The sequence below is a fragment of the Homo sapiens genome, chromosome 8 (genome assembly GCF_000001405.40).
Source record: "Homo sapiens chromosome 8, GRCh38.p14 Primary Assembly".
Lineage (NCBI taxonomy): Eukaryota > Metazoa > Chordata > Mammalia > Primates > Hominidae > Homo > Homo sapiens.
The window spans coordinates 107,291,146-107,313,363 of NC_000008.11; the positions used below are offsets into that span (position 1 = coordinate 107,291,146).

Here is a 22,218-nt window from a genome sequence, read left to right on the forward strand (position 1 = left end):
TTGCAAAACAGTATTTTTGGCATAGTTAAGTGAAATTTTTGCTTTGATGTTTTCATCTTGGATAATAAAAATAACTACTGTTCACTGAAAATTCAGTGTGCCAAAGTGCTTTACTTACATTACTTCTAATCCTTGAAACATCACTGTGAGGCAGGTGAAGTATTATCATTGTCCTATTTTAACTAGTTAGAAAGCTAAGGTGCAGGTTAGGTGATCTGTCGAAAATCTCTCCTCTTGTAAATGGCAGAGTGAAGACTATAATTGTGTTTTGTTTTGTTTTGTTTTTAGACAGAGTCTTTCTCGGTCGCTAGGCTGGAGTGCAGTGGCGTGATCTCAGCTCACTGCAACCTCTGCCTCCCAGGTTCAAGCGATTCCCCTGCCTCAGCCTCCCAAGTAGCTGGGATTACAGGCACGTGCCACCACACCCGGCTAATTTTTTGTTGTTTTAGTAGAGACGGGGTTTCACCATATTGGCCAAGATGGTCTCGATCTCCTGACCTAGTGATCCACCCACCTCGGCCTCCCAAAGTGCTGGGATTACAGGCTTGAGCTACCGTGCCTGGCCTATAACTGTTAATATAAACATAATTCAAAGTCTTTTTGTTTTTGAATATAGATAATCTTTTATCCCTCATATATTTTTAGAATCACCTAGGTAGGAAGAGGCCTTCAAATCTGACCTAGCATTCCAATTCTCCATACCAATCCCAAAAGATAATGATATACTTTCTATTTCCACTGAAGATGGGGGGGGGGGGGGGCTTGCCACTTAATAGGCAGTCTATTTGATGTTGGGATTAATCATTAGAGAGTTTTGTTCATACTTGGTCAAATTTTGCCTTCTTGGAATATTACTCCATTCATTATTGCACTCCCCTCTCAGGCAGTGTTCAAATGCACATTCTAATTCAGTAAATCTGGTCCAGAGCTTGAGATTCGTGTTTCCATTCAGTTTCCAGAGGATGCTAATACTGCTGGTCCCTGGACCACATTTTGAGAAGCAGGCTCTACTATCACCTACCTCCATCCAGTTAACTAAAATAGCTATCAGGTTTATGCCTAATTCTTTTTTTCTCCAGGTGTTTACCTGTTACAGATGTAATTTCTAAATTCCTCCCATCCTGCTTATAACCCCTAGGATAAGTTCACTTGTTTGAAAACCTCTAGAATTGAAACTATGTTTTTGATGTAACCAGAACATGGCAGACACCAGTGAGTTCTGCATTTTATGTGACCCCCTAAACTACTAGTAATGTACACTGAGTACATTAATCTTTGTTAATTCAAAATGAGCTTAGAACCAAATAAACCTCTCTTTCAAATACTAAGTCCTTAAGGCAATTTGTCACCCTTACCCTGTTTTCTCAGAGTTAATTTAGGTATTTTTTATCTAGGTGAAATATTCTACAATCATCTCTGTGGAATTATATCTTGCTGGCTTCAGCCTACCTTTCCATCTTGAGTTTATGAAATAACAAAGACATCAGGATTCCAACTTTGTGTAAGTCCAAACTTTTTAAACGTGCTTTCAGACTGTTCGACTGAGTATCTGATAAAAATGTAGATGCAGTGACACCACTAGAAACCTCCATTCATTTATTAAAACCCCTTATTTACTGTCATTTGACCAACTATGAGCCTATTAATGGGCAAACTCTGATGCAAATCAACCATAGTTTTTACAAATTGTCTGCAAGAATATCAAGACAGAACTGAGGCTAGTATAGCATTTCTTTCTCTCTACCTGGTGAGAGAAAATTTGTCAAAAAGTCAAGACAAGAATTATCTAGAGGTTTCAGCTGCAAAAGAATGAGAATCCATAAATATAGATTCTCCTGCATTACTATGCCTTTACATTCTGTCAGCAGATTTTAATAGTTAATATTGTAGGCACCGACTATGTGATTACTGGATTTTGGATTATTTCAACCCTTGCTCATCTCTGTTTCCTTTTAAAATGGGCATAGTGTTAGTTAATAGGGCTGATATTAAAAATTGATAAGAAATTACATATAGGGCAGACATATTGAGCATTAAAAAAGAGAAGAACTGTGATGATGATGATGATGATGATGATGATGATGATGATGATGCCTGCTGTTATTTTGCAGACCCCAGTGAGCCATGGCTCACAGTTCATACCTTTGTGTACTCCTCGTGCCTTAAATCTGGACTTTCCTTTTGACCAACCATAACCAACAGAATGCAATGGAAGTAACACTGTTTCATTTCTGGGTCTAATAAAACTAAAAAAGGCTGAAAGCTCCTGCTTTGTCTTTGGAGGATGACAAGTGCTACGTAAGAAGTCTGATAACCCTGGATCACTTTACTGAAAGAAGCTTAGCTTAGCCACATGGAAAGGTCACATGGAGAAGCTTCCAGTCAACAGCCAGCAACAATTAGCCAGTTATGTGGGTGAGGCCATTGCTATTACCCATCCTGTTCCACAACCTGCAACCCTGCACAGCTCCCTTGGTCAGGCTCACGTATCCAACGAAGGTCTGAGTTCTAGCTTCCCCCACCCTCATGCAACTAGGAACAAATACAGACAATACACAACAGTTCACCAAATAATTTCAGTAATACGTTTTTCTTTCTGACGCACACGTGGAAATCATTTACTGAAAGTGATTTATGAGTGTTTTGTGTCTAATGAAAATAATACTAATGTATCATTTTATGTCAAAAATAACTCAAAACCACCTAAAAATACCAAGATTCATCATATAGTATGGAGAAGATAACTTCAAGATAAAACACCAAAAAGCACCATAAATTCTTGCATCTTACCATTTTATATTCCTTCCAGCCTCTTTGGAAATCTAGACTTCCATCTTCACGATGTTGTATTACAGTCCAACCTCCCCCATTGACATCCATATTGCAAAACACCTGACAAATGGAAAACAAAGTCAAGTAAAAAATACTTCTACTTTAAAAAACATATATCCTACATGTTTCAAAATAGGAATAAGGCGAACAGGTCTGCAGATTACAAAAACCGAAATTACTATATTGAACAATGTTAATTTAGATATATTATTGGTTATTTCTTCCTCTGATTCATATTTGAGTTATTTCTGATTAAATTCCATCAATGATGAATAAATTACATGCACAAATTTTAGTCAGCTGAAAATTAAGTCTTTGTCTCAGACTATACAACATTTTAAAAAATCTTTGTTTTAAATGAAAATAAGCATTTGAGTATGTTCAAAGTTTTGGAAATGCTACCAAATTTCCAAAGTTACAGACCATTTGATTGCCAAAACACATGACTCAGAATTTTAAAACTTTAAATTGATTGAAATGGGAGTACAATAAGAATAAAAAATTTTTAAAATATAATGTCTTTAACTATCACATATTTCATTGCCTATCAATTCTTATATATGTACATGTTACAGTAGATATCCTTGAGTCAATATTTCATTAGAGGCAACATTTGTGGCATAGCATATGTAGAATATATTATTTGCTTGTATTTTAGTCACGAACAATAACAGGAGAACATGACATATTGTATCTCTTCTGACTGTGACAATAACTTCTTTCCCATGTGGAAAATTTATACAAATCTTTCAAAGACTTATGCATATTTTAATTATTCAAAATACAATGGTATTTATTTAGAAATTGACTCATTTCCCCCAGGGTCTACCCAAGAAGAGAAACATATCTGTAATGGGATTATCGTCGGAGAGCAATCACTGTAATTGATGTAGCATGAATGTGGCAGCTTGATTATTCAACGGGGACTATGGGAAACACTATTTCCTCAACAACTGAATACTAAAGCATGTTGAAGCTTGGCTAAAGGTGGGATATGATGCAACAGCAGCAAGCAGGCTATGAGGACACAGAGCTAAGCCCTGATTAAAGAAAAAACCTCAAGTGTTTTCCCTGAGGCATTGCATTTGGAACACAAGTAGCAAAAAGGGTATAAAAGCAGTGGCAAGAAATGTCATTCAAAGAGCGAATTGTCCATGTACTTCCTCAGAGTGGAAGGGTCCAAGATATACATGCCTACTTGTGGGCATATGAAATAGGACAACTCTCCTCCCAAGGCTCTCGCCCTACTTTGACAACAGCCACACATACAGTATGTCTTCATTAACCCTAGGAATTGACTCACCTCCAAGATTGTACATTTGAAATGTTGATTCCTGTCCCAGTAGTCCCCACCACCACTATTCCTTTAATTTCTGCACCTGCTCTCAGTCAACATAACCTCGAGCTACACTTTTATTTTCCGTAATTCTACTTCATTTATTCATTTATTTTTTGATTTACTCAACAACCATTCTTGGGCATCAGTTTTCACTTACAACTGGGGGTATTATTATAAATAAAATATGGGTCAGGTACTCAAACATCTCCAAGTTTCAATAGTGACTGATCCCATAGAATTAAGGAGACAGAGTTCACAATTTTCAGCTCTAATAGCCTGAAGAATCATGGAGACAATAATCTAAATGAGAAATTTAAGAAAGAAAACACGAGCAAAGAAAATGATCATAGTTTTGGATACCTCAAAGGCTAGCAAAGAAAATGATCGTAGTTTTGGACACCTTAGCCTTTGAGGTAGCACAGATATCCAAAGAAAAAGTTTATCGAGCACTTCGAGATGATCTAGACCAAGGATAAAAATATGGATAAGAGCATAAGGAAGAAAGAAAGGAATTGCTATTAACAATGACATGCTTGTTAAGGACCAAATAATATAAACACCTTACATGCATTTTCTAATTTATTCTCATGATAGTCCTAGTAGGATGTAGGTATGATGATCATCTCCATTTTACAGATGAAAAAATACTGAGGTTTAGAGTAGTTCAGTAACTTACCAGTGATTATACTCAACAATAAGCTCTGGATCTGGGATTTAAAATTGATTTGAACTGGATTCAGAATTGAATCCTATGTCTACCTAATTGAAAATTATTGGGAATAATCTGCTTAAAAGCATTTGTTAATAGCATGAAGACAAATGCAATTACTTAAATAAGTAAAGAAAAAGGTGGAAACAGATGTGTGTGGCAGGGAGTGAGAAGGGTCAAAGAACGGGCTTTGGTGAACACCTGAGAAGGACAGAATACATCAGGAAACTTTAGGTGGGCAGGGATTTCTTTCAATTGACTGCTGTCCCCAGTACCTAGAGGTGTGCTTAGCCTGTAGCGGGTACTGAATGAATATTTGATAAACAAATAGAGATGGAACAGGAGAGATAAAATAGGAAAATTTGATTAATGGAATGCTAAGAAAGATGGATTTAGAGTTGGGGAGGTGATCATCAAAGGTTTCAGAAAAGTCAAGATAAAAAATGATTAAGAAAATATAACTTCAATTTGAATGAAGAAGCCTTTAGTGACCTTGGTGAGAGAGAATGCAGATTCCTGTGGGAATAAAATCAGATGGCATAGTTTCAAGAGGGCATAGGTGGTGATTCAAGAGAAGTGGTCAAAGTGGAGCTTTACCAGTGAAATTCAAATGAGAAAAAAGGGAAGTGAAAATATCAAGGAAACATTTTTCTAGAAGCAGCTAATATCACTAGTTTCTCAATTAAATTTTATCGTGCCCTGACTTGTTAATCCAGAATGAATGTTTTTATTCAAATTTTTATTTCCTAATGGACACTGATTGCCTGAAAGTTTGCCAAGTTGTGTTTGCAAAGCTGTAAAGTCCACTTACATACTCAGGGAAAAGAATCACTACATTTATAAATGTAGAGTGCAGAGAGGAAACTATATTGTACAGTTTTTAAATTACTGTTACCTAGATTATTAAAACTCTATGCACTTAGTTTTTAAGTCACTCACAAATTTTTGAAAAAGACAACTTTCCTTCTAAACAGAGGCATCTTAGCTTTTAAATCACTCGGAAATTTTTGAAAAAGACAACTTTCCTTCTAAACAGAGGAATCCAGTGACTTGTAAATGTTCAGATGTGCTGAGAATGCTTCTTAAATAAAGACCTAGAGGAAAAACCATTGGGAAATATAAATTACCCAGGCAGATTACTAAGTTGGAAGCTGAGGGACAGAGAGGTTAAAGGGTTGAACATATGCTTCCCAATTCTTATGCAGACTTAATAACATCAATGATAACAGCTGCTCTTTGTGTTATATAGGCACAATGGAGCTGAATGACACCTTGGTTAATAGCGCCAACTTGAGTGCTACATTGCCTGAATTTAAAATCCACCTCTGCTCTCTGTATGTACCTCTTAGATATTTTCTGAGAATTTGATGAGTTAATGCATATAGAATTTTTAGAACAGCATTTGGCACTTAATAGGCATTGACACTACTCCCATCTCTTACATGTATTACTGATGACATAATATATGTTTATGCTACGCATTATACACTCTATGTATATAATGTAATATTTAATATGTATATAATATTTAAATTTAATATACTATAGTTATATAACATTGCATACAAATTTTATAATTTATTATAAATAATAGAAAATATACAAAACCAAAACATGTAGAAGTTCAATAAATTATCTTTATAATTATGATTTCTAGGCTCTAGTTATTATAATATTGGCATCACTAATCTTTGAGCATGCCACCTTTCTATATGTATTATGTATGCATATATATATATATATACACACACACACGCATACATATATCTATATTTAAGAGGTTGGACTCACTCTAGCAAAGACAAAACAAAAGCCTATTATTTTTAGTCAGAAAAAAAAATAAAAGCCTATGCTTAACAGATGAAGGAAATTTAAAAAAATAGATGGTAGGTTTTAGAAAGATTTGAGACATGAAAGACTTGAAAAGTTCATTTGCCAGTATTGTGTGGTCTGTGCTATCTGGCAGTGTCCTTCCTGTGGACAAGACCCTGCTACATTAACTATGCCTATTGCATTTATTGATCATATGACTTGGGCTTAACTCTATCCAAGAAATGACTGAACTGGCTCCTATCCCAGGCAAGGTCAAAGCTTTCAAGCATTAAACACCTTTTAACATAATACGGAGGCTTAAACCCAAACAAAACGGGGAAATTTGATTCACATAGTTTTTATACTTTTATGTTCCATAGAAGTTGGAATGATTAGACTTGTGAATGTTAATTATTTTTCCATACCATAAATGAAAAGGGCTTAACCCATTTGTTACAGTACTTTTCCAAGAATTAGGGGAATTACGAGTTCAGAATCAAATTTTTAATATTTTACAATAAGCAGAGTAATGATTAAATGGTTTGTTTTTTGGATGAAACTAGGCATTTGGTTTTGGAAACATAAAATGAAAGGGAAAGTCTTGTTTCCTACTACTATACATTGAAGGGAATTCAGAAAGAAAAATAAACACAAGCCATTAATAACATAAAAGCAAAAAGTAAATACAGAAATGACCTAAATCTAATTTTCTTTCTGCTTGAAAAGTTAAATAGTCCTAGAAAACCGTCTTTGGCTTCCACATTTGAAAAGATAACATTTCTCTAACTTTCAAAGACATTTTTTTTTGGCATGGAACAATGTCAATCGAAAAAATTACTGTACTACAATCCTGTTATACTTGCAACTCACACACTGACTACAAGATGAATAATTTCTGCTCATTGGTTTGTCACTTTCCTTTAATAACCCTAGTTTATTTTTTCGTCCATACCATGCATATTTGATGCTTCGGTTTTTGTGTAGGTTGCCTTGAGATTCTTACCCTTGCCAAAACTTCTGGAAACATTATAATGAGCAATGCTTTGGCTAAGCCTACCCAGGGGTAGCACCAAACTTCCTGTTTACAATGTACAGTCTACATGGAAGGGTGAAAGTCTTAACGATGAATTTTGCTAGCACTTTTTATAGGATTGAGAGAATGCTGACAATTTATTTCAAGATGGAAAAAACTGAGATTATAGGAAGGTGAGAATGAGGTGGGTTATAATGAGAACATGAATCAACTTACCTAATTTTCTAAAAATAAACCCTTGCCTGTGTAGCTCACATGTCACACCATGTGTTTACCACCCCATGGGGCAACAGGTTCATATTTAAAATTATAAATGATACAATTTCAATTATCGTTAACATAAATAATGATCCTGCTTAATCCTCTGATTAAAAGGGTGTATCCTAGAATTAGATTCCTTTGTTTCAAAGTCAATATTCAATATTTGCTAAGAATTTGTATGGGGCAGGTTAACTTTCTAAAGTAGGGATAATGGGAGTCTCTATCTCATAGGGTTGTTGAAAAGAGTAAATGAAGGAGTGTATATATATATATATATATATATATATATAAACATACATATATATACTAAGCATATATATATACACTAAGCATATATATATACTAAGCATATATATACTAAGCATATATATGTACTAAGCATATATATACACTAAGCATATATATAGATATTTAGATATACATAGCATATATAGATATATATAGCATATATAGATATAGACAGCAGATATATAGGTATATTATATATCTATATATAGATCTCTATATATAGATATAAATATCTATATATAGACATATAGTTATATAGTATATTTAGATACATACTATACTATACTATATATACTATATATATAGTTATATCTAGATATACTATATATCTAGATATGTAGTTATATCTAGATATACTATATATCTAGATATGTAGTTATATCTAGATATACTATATATCTAGATATGTAGTTATATCTAGATATACTATATATTTAGATATGTAGTTATATCTAGATATACTATATATCTAGATATGTAGTTATATCTAGATATACTATATATCTAGATATGTAGTTATATCTAGATATACTGTATATATACTATATACTAGTTATATCTAGATATCTAGATATAACTATATATCTAGATATCTAGATATGTAGTTATATCTAGATATAACTATATATATAGTTATATCTAGATATAGGTATCTATATCTATAGAGATCTATATATATCTCTATATATCTATATATAGTATATATATAGTATAGTATAGTATACATCTATATATAGAGATCTATATCTATCTATATATAGAGATATATATGCTTAGAAGAAGACTGGCAAACTGTAAATGCTCAATACATTTGAGCTATTTTGTTAATCAGCTTGTAAATTACTTTTGAGGAAATTCACACAATATTTGTTCTTACCAGTGCTATGCTATGCAATTATACTAAGGGATTAAACACTAAATTTTTTACCTGCAAAAATGTGTATGTATGTCAGTCTGAAATACCCATCTTTATTATAGAACAATGTTACTACTTGTAAGAGAATCTATGATTATAATAGGGAAATAATAAAACAAGAGAATGAACATCTAAGTCCAGAAGAAGGCCAGGTCTTTCTCTCTTCAGCTCAGTTATCTCCCCTTCTCACCACACTCTGCTAGTATTTCAATAAAACTAAATCTAAATCTAACAATAGTCCTGACCAGGTAATATTGGAACTTCTCCTTCTTCTCTCTGAAAAGCCATGGTGGCCATTCAGCAGTGATAAAATTTGCTCCTTATGGGTACGTATGGGTATGTTACTGCTAACCTGTTCAGATTATTATTTTTTCTTAGCCTAAATATCAGAAGTTAATTCAGTAGGTACTTGACATTTGTGAATATAATATTCTAAGTTTTATTTATTTAAGAAAACCCAAAAACTCCATCATATTTAAAATCCACCATTTTGTAGAAGCGTAAGCTTGAATCTTGCTTTCCTGATGAAACCAACCCAGGAGCCAGCCATGGAAGGAGTAAATTGGATTCTCCAACATTCTATTTTATGTAAGCATGAAAAGCAAACCTATTCAGGATTATGAATTGAGGTGGGATCTTTTTCTTCACATTACCAGGCGCAGTGGTTCTGCAAATAGCCTGTGCACCATTTGCATCTCATAATGTTTCAAACTAGAGTGTAGTTGTGGTTATATATGAACTAAAGTCCATAGAATGACTAAAGCTGTATTTGTACTGCACCCCTTCCCACAGACCACATGGTAGTACTGATGATGAAGTCAAAAAAATTCTAAAATTGTGAATATTCTTGATCTGAAAACTTTGGGAATTATTTTTCGATTCATTTATATCACAGAATCACTATGAGTCTAAATGGAAGTTCGCTTAGTATTTTTAGTTAATTTTATTTTTATAGTCAGATTATAAGCTCTAGTGGAACTGACAATAATTTAGAGGTTCTTTCAGGTCTTGAGTAGTACTGTAGGTAAATGATAAAGCAAATGTTTTAACTCCACCTCCTACTCCAGATCAAATTCTCACATACTTCATCTGCTGTGTGTATGGTGTGTGTTTATGATGTGTGTGTGTGTGTGAATTGAATTTAAGCTTAAGTGTGATTTTAGGATATCTTCCTTAGAATAAGTTATCTTCATCTCCTCATTCCCAGACTTGCCATTGTATTTCAATTTTTCATTTGTTTGCTTCTTTAAGCCATGGGATTCAATGTAATCTTGCACAGAAATCAAACATGAAAAACAGCAAAACCACACTTCTCTGGTAGATGGCTGAGGTAGCAAAGTACAGAAGAGTGCCTCCTGCCTGTCCTCCCTCCTGTGCCCACTCCACTCCTACATTTTACCCCCTTATAGACAACATCAAAGGTATCTTTCAAGAAGAAAATTTTGTCCCAGCAAAGGGGAAAAAGAAACCATTTAGAGCTAACATAAACAACTATTCATTACGGAAATCAAGAGAGACAGAGGACAGTGGTAAAAGGGAAAATAGAATTGTATCAGACCTGGACTATAGTCCAGACTTCCTGGGTTGCCAATTAAGTGGCATCTGGCAAACTGGGCTCCAGGATTCATTTCCTTTGCCTATCAAAGGAGACTAACAATCAGGAAGACTAAGTAAGTTAGACTGATTTACTATGCACTGCATGGAAGTGTTGATATTGCCATCAGCAGGTCACTTACTCATTTATTCCAGCACATATCTATTGAGACCTACTATGTGCCAGAAACTATGCTAGGTTCCAGGAAATCAAAGATAAAAGGCACAATCTCTGCCTTTTAGAACTCTGGTAGTGAGAAAGTCATGTAAAGTTGCCTGAGGGAATCAGAGAAGATTCCAAGAGCATTGCACAGGCCCCAGAGGAAATGGGGATAAGAGACAAGTAATTTAGGTGGGGGCATGAGGGGAGGACAGTTGTTTTATCCTGTAAGGGCATGCGGTCCTCTTGGGACCCTGGGCTTCCAGTTAAAACTCACAGACACTGAAGAGCAAGGTTCTTGCCTAATCTCACTCTCTTCAGCTGTCTCACCTCAAAACTTCCCATATACCCTGCTTTACACAGACCATTTCTATCACTATACTTATTGACAGCATTTTATAACTATCTGCATAATTGTCTATCTTCATCATTACACTAGAAACTGTTTGCTCTATATTCATGTTCCTAACAAATGCATGATATCCACTTAACAGTATTGAATGAAGGCATAGATGGATGATTTAATGAATAAATGGTGGAAGACAGTATACAAAAGAGATGTTACAGCAGGAAGATAATGTTTGCTTACTCCAAAGTTTACCTTGGGTCCTGTTCAACATACTGATGAATCCGATCCTCCAACCCACTCTTTTATGTAAATATGGAAAGCAAATTCTTTCAAGATTATGAAGTAAGATAGGAAATGTTTCTCCTATCCTAACAGGAGCAATAACTTGCAAATAGCTATATCTACCCCTCCCTCTCCTCACAGTATTTGGCTTTGGATAATGTGTGTTCTCTGGATTGTTGGGTCTTTGGAAGATGGCTTCTCTTTCCCATAGACTCACGGTAGACATGACCTCAACATGTAATCTGTACAAGGCAAACATGTATGAGCAAGGGGACATCCTAGGGACACCAGGGAATAAATGCAAAATTTTGTGTGAAAGAAAAGGTGTGTGGATTGGGGATTTCTGTACAATAGGGTTTTCATCCTTTATGGACCTGGGAAACAGAGTATCTCTGGGAGAAAAAAGTTCAGGCATCTCTATATATATTTCCAGTTTAACAAGCTCACAAATCAATCTGATTATCCAGCAATTCAACTGGGATCTGGCTTACATCTTGTAAACAAACACTTCTGGTTTTACCTTTTTGGGTTCTGGCATATTATTAATATAAATAGTGTAGATTCCACTTTTATTAAAACCAGCTTGATATACATCTGCACAGTCTCTAAATGGTTTCTCTTCCTCTCTTTTTCCTCCCTTTAGTAAAACTGCAAAAAAAAAAAAAAAGATTGCAATATGTGAATATCAGTACCATTAGTAGCCAAACTGACTCCAATAATAGCTAAGCATGTCTTCATTTCCTCCACACAAATGTCAATATCGCACATAGTAAAAAGTCAATCATAAAGACAATACTAGATTTTGAGGTAGCTTACAAAATTAAAAAAAAAAAACTGAAGGAAAAAGCTGTAGAGCCATTTTTAACTGAATGCTTATATTTTACTTAATTTCTTAATTCTTTTTTTTCTATGTATCCTTTCCAAAACATCAACTTAAGGAACAAATGACCTGGGCATGTAATATCTTCAATTGGTAGCAATTACGTCAAGTTTCCTGCAAAATCTCTAAAACGTTCTTACCTACATTTCACAGGAAAGTCTAAAAAAAGTGCTAACACACTTTTTGGAGCAGGAAGACATGAAGATAAATTCAAACATAAAAATGCAATATGGAAGTTTAAAACACTAAAACAATGGAAGTACTGTTTTTCTGTGACTTTATATTGAAGAGCTTCTAGAAAATTTTACCAACAAAACAAAGCAAAACAAAAAGAATCAACAACTCTTAACAATAATTAGATTTGGGAAGTAGAAAAGAGTTTATGACCCAACTTAACTACCTACAATGAAAATGAAACCAAACTTTACTTTGTTCTTTCTTTAATGCCCTAAAGTTAAATCATCAGGCAGATGATACACAAATAAAAGAACAAACAAATAAGACTTTGAAATTAAATTATACAGGTGAAAGAGTCACAGTAAACACTAGAAGTCAAGTGAAGACAGAAAATCTATTAATAGTTAGAGACTGTCTCTACTGAGGAAAACCTTATTTTATTTACTGAGCTTTATCCATTATTAACTTCTTACAAATGAAATAAAAATGCAAAATGACCCACATTTAATAGTTCTTAGCTAAAGATATATGTGTTATATTTATAAAGTATTTATGATTTAGTATTTTCTATTATGTATTATTTTAGTAATTGGTTTTATTTAACCTTTTTCTAGAAATTAAGATTAAGACTATTTTGTTATCTTGCCCTTAAAGTTTCCTATCAATAAATATCTGCATTCAAACACATTGAGTTATAATAGTCTTTTATAATAAAAATAACAAAGGCAAACTATGAATCAGAACTTTTACATTAATTTTAAATGATCTAAAAATCTAAAATCCTGGCCTAACTTAATACTGGTTTCATACTAAATACTGGCCTTTAGTTGCCTAATGTTTACTAACTTATAGGTATTGAGCAGTCTAATCTTTATGGAAATAATTACTATTTCAATATAAATTACTCAGATTTTTAAAAAATATTAAATTATATTTCAAGAAAATGAAATATTTATGTCAGATATGTTGCCACAGCAGAAAAATAGTACTAAAGCATTTAATAACATTATGATTTTCTATGTAGCTCAAGTCTGCACTAATGGTTTTAATGAATCATACTAATAATTACATCTAAATACCACCATCACAATTGCCATGTCAACACAAAATAAATCAACTAATTAAAGGGCTACAGATTCATATGATAGTGAAGAAGTACTGCACAGAATGTATGCAAATAGCAATTTAAAGATGCATATATAAATGCTTACTCAAAAGCCATCTTTAATGACACTGAGGATGTCAATGGATTATATAAAGGTATCCATTTCAAAAGCATTGACGTAGTTTACTGGTATTCGTTTATTCTAACTTTACGGACTGCTATTTTTCTAAAACAAAAAAAAATTTTAAATCCCACCTACTGGATCCTTTATTCTGTTGGAAAGTTGAAAATAAGCAAATCAGATGCCCAGAAAAAGAGATGTGAAGAAATACCAACTAAAATTTATGATCACTTGAGAGGACAAAAAACACAGGAAGATGTGGTCAGCAGGAACCCAACGGTAAACCCATTTTTCTCTTTTGAGAGAGAGAAAGTCATTTATCTATGGAGAAAATGCTTCTCTTGTATATACCACATCCTGCCCTCCCTTTTTTAGTTATGTATGGAGAACACATTCCCTTCACTCTTGTCTGCCATCTCTCCTCCCATTTTTGCTTTTTCTTTCCACTTCAGGAAGATGTTGGTGAAGTGGCTATGTGTGGGAAGAGGAAGCTATTTCACACACATTTTTAGTAACCGAGAAAAAAGGAAAAAGTTGGGTATTAACTTATTTTTGTGAAAACTAACAGTATAAATTTGTTGTCAAAACCATGAATACAAATTCTATACTTGGGAAAATGGTTTGAGAATTCTACCATCAAAAGGTACACCTAGTATTATGGTTATATTATGGATTTTTTGTTGTTATGGTAACATATCTGAAATAGATATTGTATTTTCTTGAAATTTAATTTGGTATGTTTGAAAAATTGAGATACTTATATTCTTTCAAAAAAGTCATTCTTTCCAGAAAGATTAGATTGATTGTTTTTAATTACTTACCAACTAGCAAGCATATGCCTGAAAGTTAATTTAGGCTACACTTTAGAGTAGCAAGGCATTGAAAATCATTGTAAAAGTTTCATCCACAGCTTACCTTTGGTATTTTTATTATATACTACGGTTTGAATAAGGTCCCTTTGATAAGGGTAGATTGACCTTTAGAGTTTTTTTTGTCCTTAATCTATAAAGTGAGGTAGTTATAAATACCTCTGAGATGGGTGTATGAATTACCTAACACAGTGCAAAGACAGTGAAGCATAATAAGTACTCAAGAATGGTAGTTGTTATGGTAATGACAACACTGTTAACAGCAATATTATCCTGTTACTCCTTCTTATGGAAGAGACACTAGCAGAATGTGGAAGGCCAGTCTAGGGGGTGGTGGATGCTGCTGTCTTCCACCTTCTAATTAAAACATAGCAGTTATAGTTGACTAGTTATATTTAGGATCACATTGAATTAGCCTCTCCTGGTCAAATTTGGCTAATTGGCTGGTTTCATTCATTGAATAAATCAGATTATACCATTGTTTACATTTAAGAAAACCCCAAAACAGGCAATCTCATCTTGCTGTGTATTTTAAGCTTTACCTAAATAGTTAAGATTTAAAGATTATTTCAGATGAAATTATAAACGATTTATATGTCAACATGTTGGTTATAGAAGTTTCAATCTCATGACTTTTTGCATGACTCGTTTCTTTGTTAAGTACTGCAGAGTTCTGAAGTCCAATGTCATGCATAGATATTATAAAACTGGACACCTAGGAAACATTCTAAAACCTAGAGAGACAATAACATTTGAATTTCCTGAACATTGCAAGTGTCAGCACCAGTGATAAGATTTTTAGGAGGTCTTGAGCTTCAGTTAGATAGAAGATAGAAATTGGAGGAATATTTAGTAAATGACACGAGACAGATAGATACAATAGACTTGATGGGGCCAAGAGCAGTGGCTCACCCTGTAATACCAGTGTTTTGGGAGGTAGAGGCAGGAGGATCCCTTGAGGCCAGGAGTTCAAGACCAACCTGGGCAGTACAGTGAGACCATGTCTCTTCAAAAATTAAAAATTAAAAAAAAAAGTCTGGACTAAGATTTGATGGAAGAGTAAAAGAAGCATCACCGAACAGATGTCAGGGGGAACCTTCCGGAGACCTGAAAGAGGGCTGTATCTATCTCTCAAAGTGGTTTACACTTTTTGTAATAATGAACTGATTTGAAGCACGAGTTAAAAGGTTGATCTTTATGTCTAAAATTCTTTCTTTGACCAGATATTCTTATTTTTCCTTTCTTATTCTTTAATTTCTGATGAGTTCATCTTCCCTCTCATTGAGAATTTAGATCCCTGCCATTCCTATCACTGCTTTCCGAGCCTCCCTTTTCTTTCTTCTTAGCCTCGATCCCAGAGTCAGGAATTTAATAATGGTCCATTTGGCATCCCTGGTCTCTCCACCCATTGTCCTTTCATCCACTCACCTTTGCATAGGTAAATCCCAACCCCCAGATGGGCATTCATTCACTTTCTCAACCCCCTTGTAGACTGCAAACACTGAGTCATTTGTAATAAACTTCCTACGACATTTCCTGTAGAGTGTATTGCAAATCTTTCTACTGTTTTAAAAAACTACATCTTATCTTCTCTCACTCTTTATAAATGACCTTTATGGTTTACTCTGAAGATCAAAGCCATTTGATATGTCTCCTCCACTCCCTTCCTCTACCCTATAGAAGTTGTCTTTGCCTATCTTTCCCCTCGCGTTTTTTGTTGACCTCTCCTAGTCCCTTTCAACTTCTCCAATTGTTTTTTCTCTTTCCTCTTTTATCGGTTTATTTTCCTCTCATCACCTACCATATAGATGTTCACTAAGTTTCCATTCTTGGATCTCTATTTCTTATATATCTGTTCATTTTGCAAACTATCTATCATGGCTTCCAACTGCGGCACAAAAGATTTCTAATATACACAGGCACTTTTTAACACTGAGTATTTGCCTCTCTCTTTACCTTCAGATTCATATATCTACTTGCCTGTTGGGCAGTCCTTCCTGCTACACCAACTTTCATTTGTTTAATGTTCCATAATCTTTCCTTCCAAACCAGGTGTTTGCTCTTTCCCTTATTAGTCCCACTATCCTTCTCCAGTTTTTATCAGTTAAAAATTAATTAAAGTGTTAATTTTTTTCTAATAAGACAATTAGAGTATGGCTTTTCCATTTGTCCCTCTGCTTCTTATCCTCTCTTAGTTCAATCATCCTATATTATTATTTCAACAAATATTGATGGACATTTGCTATTTTTAAGACTTCTCCTAGGCAATGGAGATACAGACATAAGAAAGCCCAAGCCTGCCTGTCATGTGATCACAGCCTGATGCGAAAAAGATCTTCCATGAACGCTATACCCATGATTAGTAACTTTTATGATAGGACAAAACTCAATTCAAGGTGGCTTAAGCAAAAAGATAATTTATTGGATCATGTAACTAAAGAATCCAATGTAGTACTTTAAGTAAGTCATGGTAAGGTTTCAAACAATGTGACCAGAAATTGGTTTCTTAGTCTTTTTCTTGACCCACTTATTCTTGGCAATCAACCTGGTCACAAGATAGCTGGCAATAACTTGTAAGGCTATAATGTCACCAGTTTAAATACAGCACCAAAGAGAGAGAATGCAGACAATTGTTATCTTAGAGGTATGTATCAAGCACATTGGGAACATGCAAGAATATACTCCTTCTGCCAGGTGGACACCAGGAAGGCTACCTAGAAGAGATAACAGTTGAAAGAATATAACATATAGAAAAGCTTATCTGACCTAAATTTAAGAGCCTGGTATGCTAGTTCAAAGACTTTGCCCACACCAATATCAGCAAATAAATCTAGAAAGTCCTAGGAAGGAATCATTATTCATTCTTTTCATTTAGCCTTATCTATACAACCAAATCTTTGTCATCTAAAGGGATAGAATAGAGACACAAACAGGTGCATGTCTGTCTTTCACCAGCCAACATTCAGTCAATAAGCAACCTGAGACCCTGATGCTAGCAGCTGTTGACTTTATCCTGATCTTCCCTTCCTTTACCCAACCAATTTAAATCTAGATGGTGCATCCACCACCAGACTGACTTCAGGGGAGGACCATGAAATCTAAGGCAGAGGGTCACTTCAATTCAGATGAACCCTCAAGAAAAAACTTCCTGGAATGTGGAATTGGTAATTATTAGCCTCAGCAACACTAGCCGAGAACACAGAAGGCAATTAGCCTTGCTACCAGAGACAGTGTAAAAAGCCAAAGCCCTTTCTCTTACCCATTTTCTGATGAGTTGCTATAAAGAAATCAGTTCTTCAATCGTTCATTTTAAACCTTAAATATGGCTAATGGTTCATGTATTTCCAGTATTTACCGAACATCAGAATACATGTGGATCAGGTTATTTGTTCAAGGATAGTCCTTGAGACATCATTATTAGGAAGATCATAGCACTAGAAATTGACCCTGAACCTGTGATTTCAACACAACAGGTCACTGAAATTAACTGAGCATATAAAGGAAGAAAACAGCACATCTGACAAGGTGCAAACAAGCAAACAATTGATGGATTAGATTTTGTGCTTTTCAGCCAGGTGTGTGGGCATTTCATAGAGAAAACATTTTGAAGACACTCTCTGGAATCCTAATTTATTCAAAAGAATCTTTAAAAGTGGAAGAAGGTAATGTCTTGCATTTCAAGGGTGTGGAAGAATTAAAAGATTTCCAGGCAGTCCAAGTTTCAATATTTTATGGGTAGGTATAGGGGTGAGGGATATTTACCAATGACTTTATAAACAGATATACAAATATATATAGCTACACAAATACATACAAGCTGTATGCTTATAAATGGAAAATGTTGAGGTTGGTATTTTTTTCTTGTAGAAAGCATATGCATACAAACCTAAATATCTGTGGGCTGATATCTCAGCATGACTGTTTTTAACCTACAAAAATGGCAATTGAATATGGTTATATGTGTGTGTGCATGTGTGTATGTGTGTGAGACAGTATAACAAACACATACATTCTATTCTTAAATACTCTTAATTTGAAGTCTTTGATTAACTAAAAGTGTACTTTTTTATTTAAAACAACTACTTCTTTTCTCAAAGTCCCTCTAACCCTGGAATAAGGGAACACTTGAACATCATTTATCTAGTGAATTATTATTTTAATTAAACATTTTTAAAAAAGAACTTCTTTGCTCTCATTTAAATTATTTATATGTAATTTTATAGATAATCTATAAAATCTTAACTACCATTTTTTATGGAACTATAATAATCATGATCATAATAAAATCAACTAGCATTAATTGAACACTTACTATGTGGTAAACTCTGAATTTTGTGTGCCAAGTATGTTTTACATGCTTCATTTTGTTCAATCCTTATAAATTTCTTATGAGGAGTATTTATCAATATATTGCTTTACATGGGAAGTTGAAGCTCAGAAATGCTACTAACTTCACCAAAACTTGTAAGTAGTAGAACTCTCTGACTATAAAGCTGAAAATCTTAACTACTTCTTACTGGCCTTTGAGTAAAGTGAAACCCAAATAGAACTTCAGTGAGTCATCTGTCACAGAATCCCCAGCAATACTTATCTCTGCTGACAAGAGCACACCCAAGGTCCTGAGTTATTCAGTATAAGCCATAAGTCTGAAAGGGTACAGCCTCATCTCATGGAAGCAGGTTGTATGGGAAAAGAGAGAGGAGGCAGCAATGATAAGAACAAAGAATATGTTGACATGAGGATAGCAGAGAGCCACAGGCAGTAGAATTGTCTGAGATGAAAACCCTCAGCAGAAAAGTGAAGCCGTGACAGCCCACAATGTCAAGAGCTAACAGAGGATAAGTGAGAGGTCCCAAAGCAGCCATATTGGATTTTATCATGTTCATACCCTTAAAGTCACACTGACTCAGGATTTACCCCTATTAATTTTAGGTATTATTCTCATAAGCCTGGTAGTTGGTCTCCCAGCCTACGGACTATTTGCTAGAAGCTTCAAAGACAGAGAGGATAGGCTGGCGGGGTAGTGAGAGTGGGAATATGTGTGTGTGTGTATGTGTTAGTGTGAGTGTGTGTGTGTGTATGTATGTGTGTGTGTATGAGTGTGTATGTGAGTGTGTGTGTATGTGTGTGACTGTGTGTATGTATGTGAGTGTGTGTGAGTGTGTGTGTGTTCATCTTCTAGTATCAGGCATGGAGACAAGAAATTGGATCATTGAAAGTATGTGTGTGTGTGTCTGTGTTCATCTTCTAGTATCAGGCATGGAGACAAGGAATTGGATCATTGAAAGTACGTGTGTATGTGTGTGAGGAAAAGACAGAAAATTTTAAAAAGTAGGCAAAACTAAGAAATGATAAGAATTTGGGCACTGAACAATATAAAGGGGGCATGCTATATACTTTTCCAGAGGCATCACGGTATTATGATGAAAATTAATTCATATGGATAATAACGGATTAAATTATTAGAAAAAAAGCCATAATTTTATTCAATTTTCTCTTCCAAAAAAAGAAAGGAGAGGATAAAAAATGCAGGTAATTTTTCATCACATTTAAAAATTTTCATAAAATTTTACTAAAGGGATACATTTTAATTATCTGAAGAATATATTGCCCATGATATATAATTGCAGATATACAAATTTTCAATAATACTACGATATACATAAGACATACAAACTCTTACATTTATGTAGAGATGCAAAGCATCCTATGTCATAAGTGTAGCTCTAATTTAAAGTCTGTTTTAAAGTGGAAGAATAATTAAATATCAATTCTACATATTTGTACTGTAGTTTGATTACCATGTTCAAATAAATTTTGCAATTATCTTCCAATGTGAAACGAATCTCATGTGTATAACAACGTATATTCAATGCCTATTACTACCTAAAGTAATCAAGAATGGGGAAAAAGCTGGGTGCGGTGGCTCACGCCTGTAATCCCAGCACTCTGGAAGTCCGAGGCGGGCGGATCACAAGGTCAGGAGATGGAGACCATCCTGGCTAAAATGGTGAAACCCCGTCTCTACTAAAAATACAAAAAATTAGGTGGGCGTGGTGGCGGGCGCCTGTAGTCCCAGCTACTCGGGAGGCTGAGGCAGGAGAATGGAGTGAACCTGGGAGGCGGAGCTTGCAGTGAGCAGAGATCGCACCACTGCACTCCAGCCTGGGCGACAGAGCGAGACTCCGTTTCAAAAAAAAAAAAAAAAAAAGAATGGGGAAAAATACTTGACTAAAAGGTACAACTGGAAATACACACCATCTTTGTTTAATCAAGTAATCTTTCATTTTACATAAAATTAATTTCTTTGTTTTCCCTTTGGGCACCCTGTTGGGCAGTTACGAATGCTGCACGGCCCTTGCCATTTGTTCAGGAGCTCATTTTATTCACAAAGACATTTCAGGTGTTTCGTGTGTGTTAATTTCCCATATACTTTTTTTCAGCCTGGCTAAAATATATTGGTTTTGTACAAAAGATTTCCCATACATGTGGGAAAGCTTAAGGGGCATCTTTTGTGCTCTGCTATGAGCAGACAAATATAATTTATTTCAGCAACAGCCATTAAAAATGGAATGAAAGTCCTTGGGCAATGCTGTAAACATAGAAAGCAGTTGCCAGATGTTTTTGAAAACTGACACATACACAAAATTCCACTTTGAAGTTTTAAGTAAATAAGTCCTGACTGTCACCACAAGTACGTCACCTTGATTCTTACTCTTGTGGTGTGATATACTTAAAGAACAGTACTTGACTACCAGCCCTGGCTCTACATGGGCTTCTCCTCTGAATACAGGGCTTCACCGGTTATTAGGAGTGACACAAAACCAAGAGACAAAGTTGGAATGCTTGATATGAGTCATAAAGTATGTAGGTTTGTGTAGGATACCAGGCAAACTCTAAGGTGTGCCATACTTCTATGTTAAGCAATCTGACAGCAGAGCTGGGACTAGAACAGAGATGTCATGATTCCTGCTCCTTCTAAACCACCATGCCTGCCCTCTCGATGGTATACACCTGCTCCCAGATACTGGAGAGAAACCATCTCAATCTATAATTCCTAGCTCTAGAGAGATAGGTTGGATAATTAATTATGATTAAGATTAGGTTTGTGCGTGTCTGTGTGTCCATGAGGCCTAAACAACTGGCAAAATCTCCCTTTAGAACCAAATTTCCACTTAAAATTATACCCAAAGTTCAAACTCACTATTCTAAAGGACGTCATCCCACTTGTGAAAATGGAACGTTCACACCTAAAAATAATTAAGATAATTAAGATACATGCAAACATATAATAAATACACAAGTTAAAAGAGGTCTGACATTTGATATTACATTTGATAATCTGACTTATTCATAAATCCATTAAAAAGATGAGTAATTCTTTGTAGGCTGCATATTAATATGACTCCTTAGCAGACATAACCCCACTCAGAATGTGAACACCCAAACTAGCACAAGCATGAGATTCCAGTGTACTTAAAGTTAGTTTTCA

The 22,218-nt window shown here is 34.7% G+C and overlaps 1 protein-coding gene across 4 annotated transcripts in view; it reads right to left on the minus strand.

Moving 5' to 3' along the window:
* ANGPT1 (angiopoietin 1) overlaps window positions 1–22,218 on the minus strand; it is a 248,437-nt gene that overhangs the window by 41,664 nt on the left and 184,555 nt on the right. For all 4 annotated transcript variants that reach the window (NM_001199859.3, NM_001146.5, NM_001314051.2 and 1 more), the window contains 2 exons: window positions 12,095–12,222; window positions 2,791–2,892 (listed from right to left, as the gene is read on the minus strand). In NM_001199859.3, coding sequence (NP_001186788.1) covers window positions 2,791–2,892; window positions 12,095–12,222 — 230 coding nt within the window. The remainder of the gene's footprint in view (window positions 1–2,790; window positions 2,893–12,094; window positions 12,223–22,218) is intronic.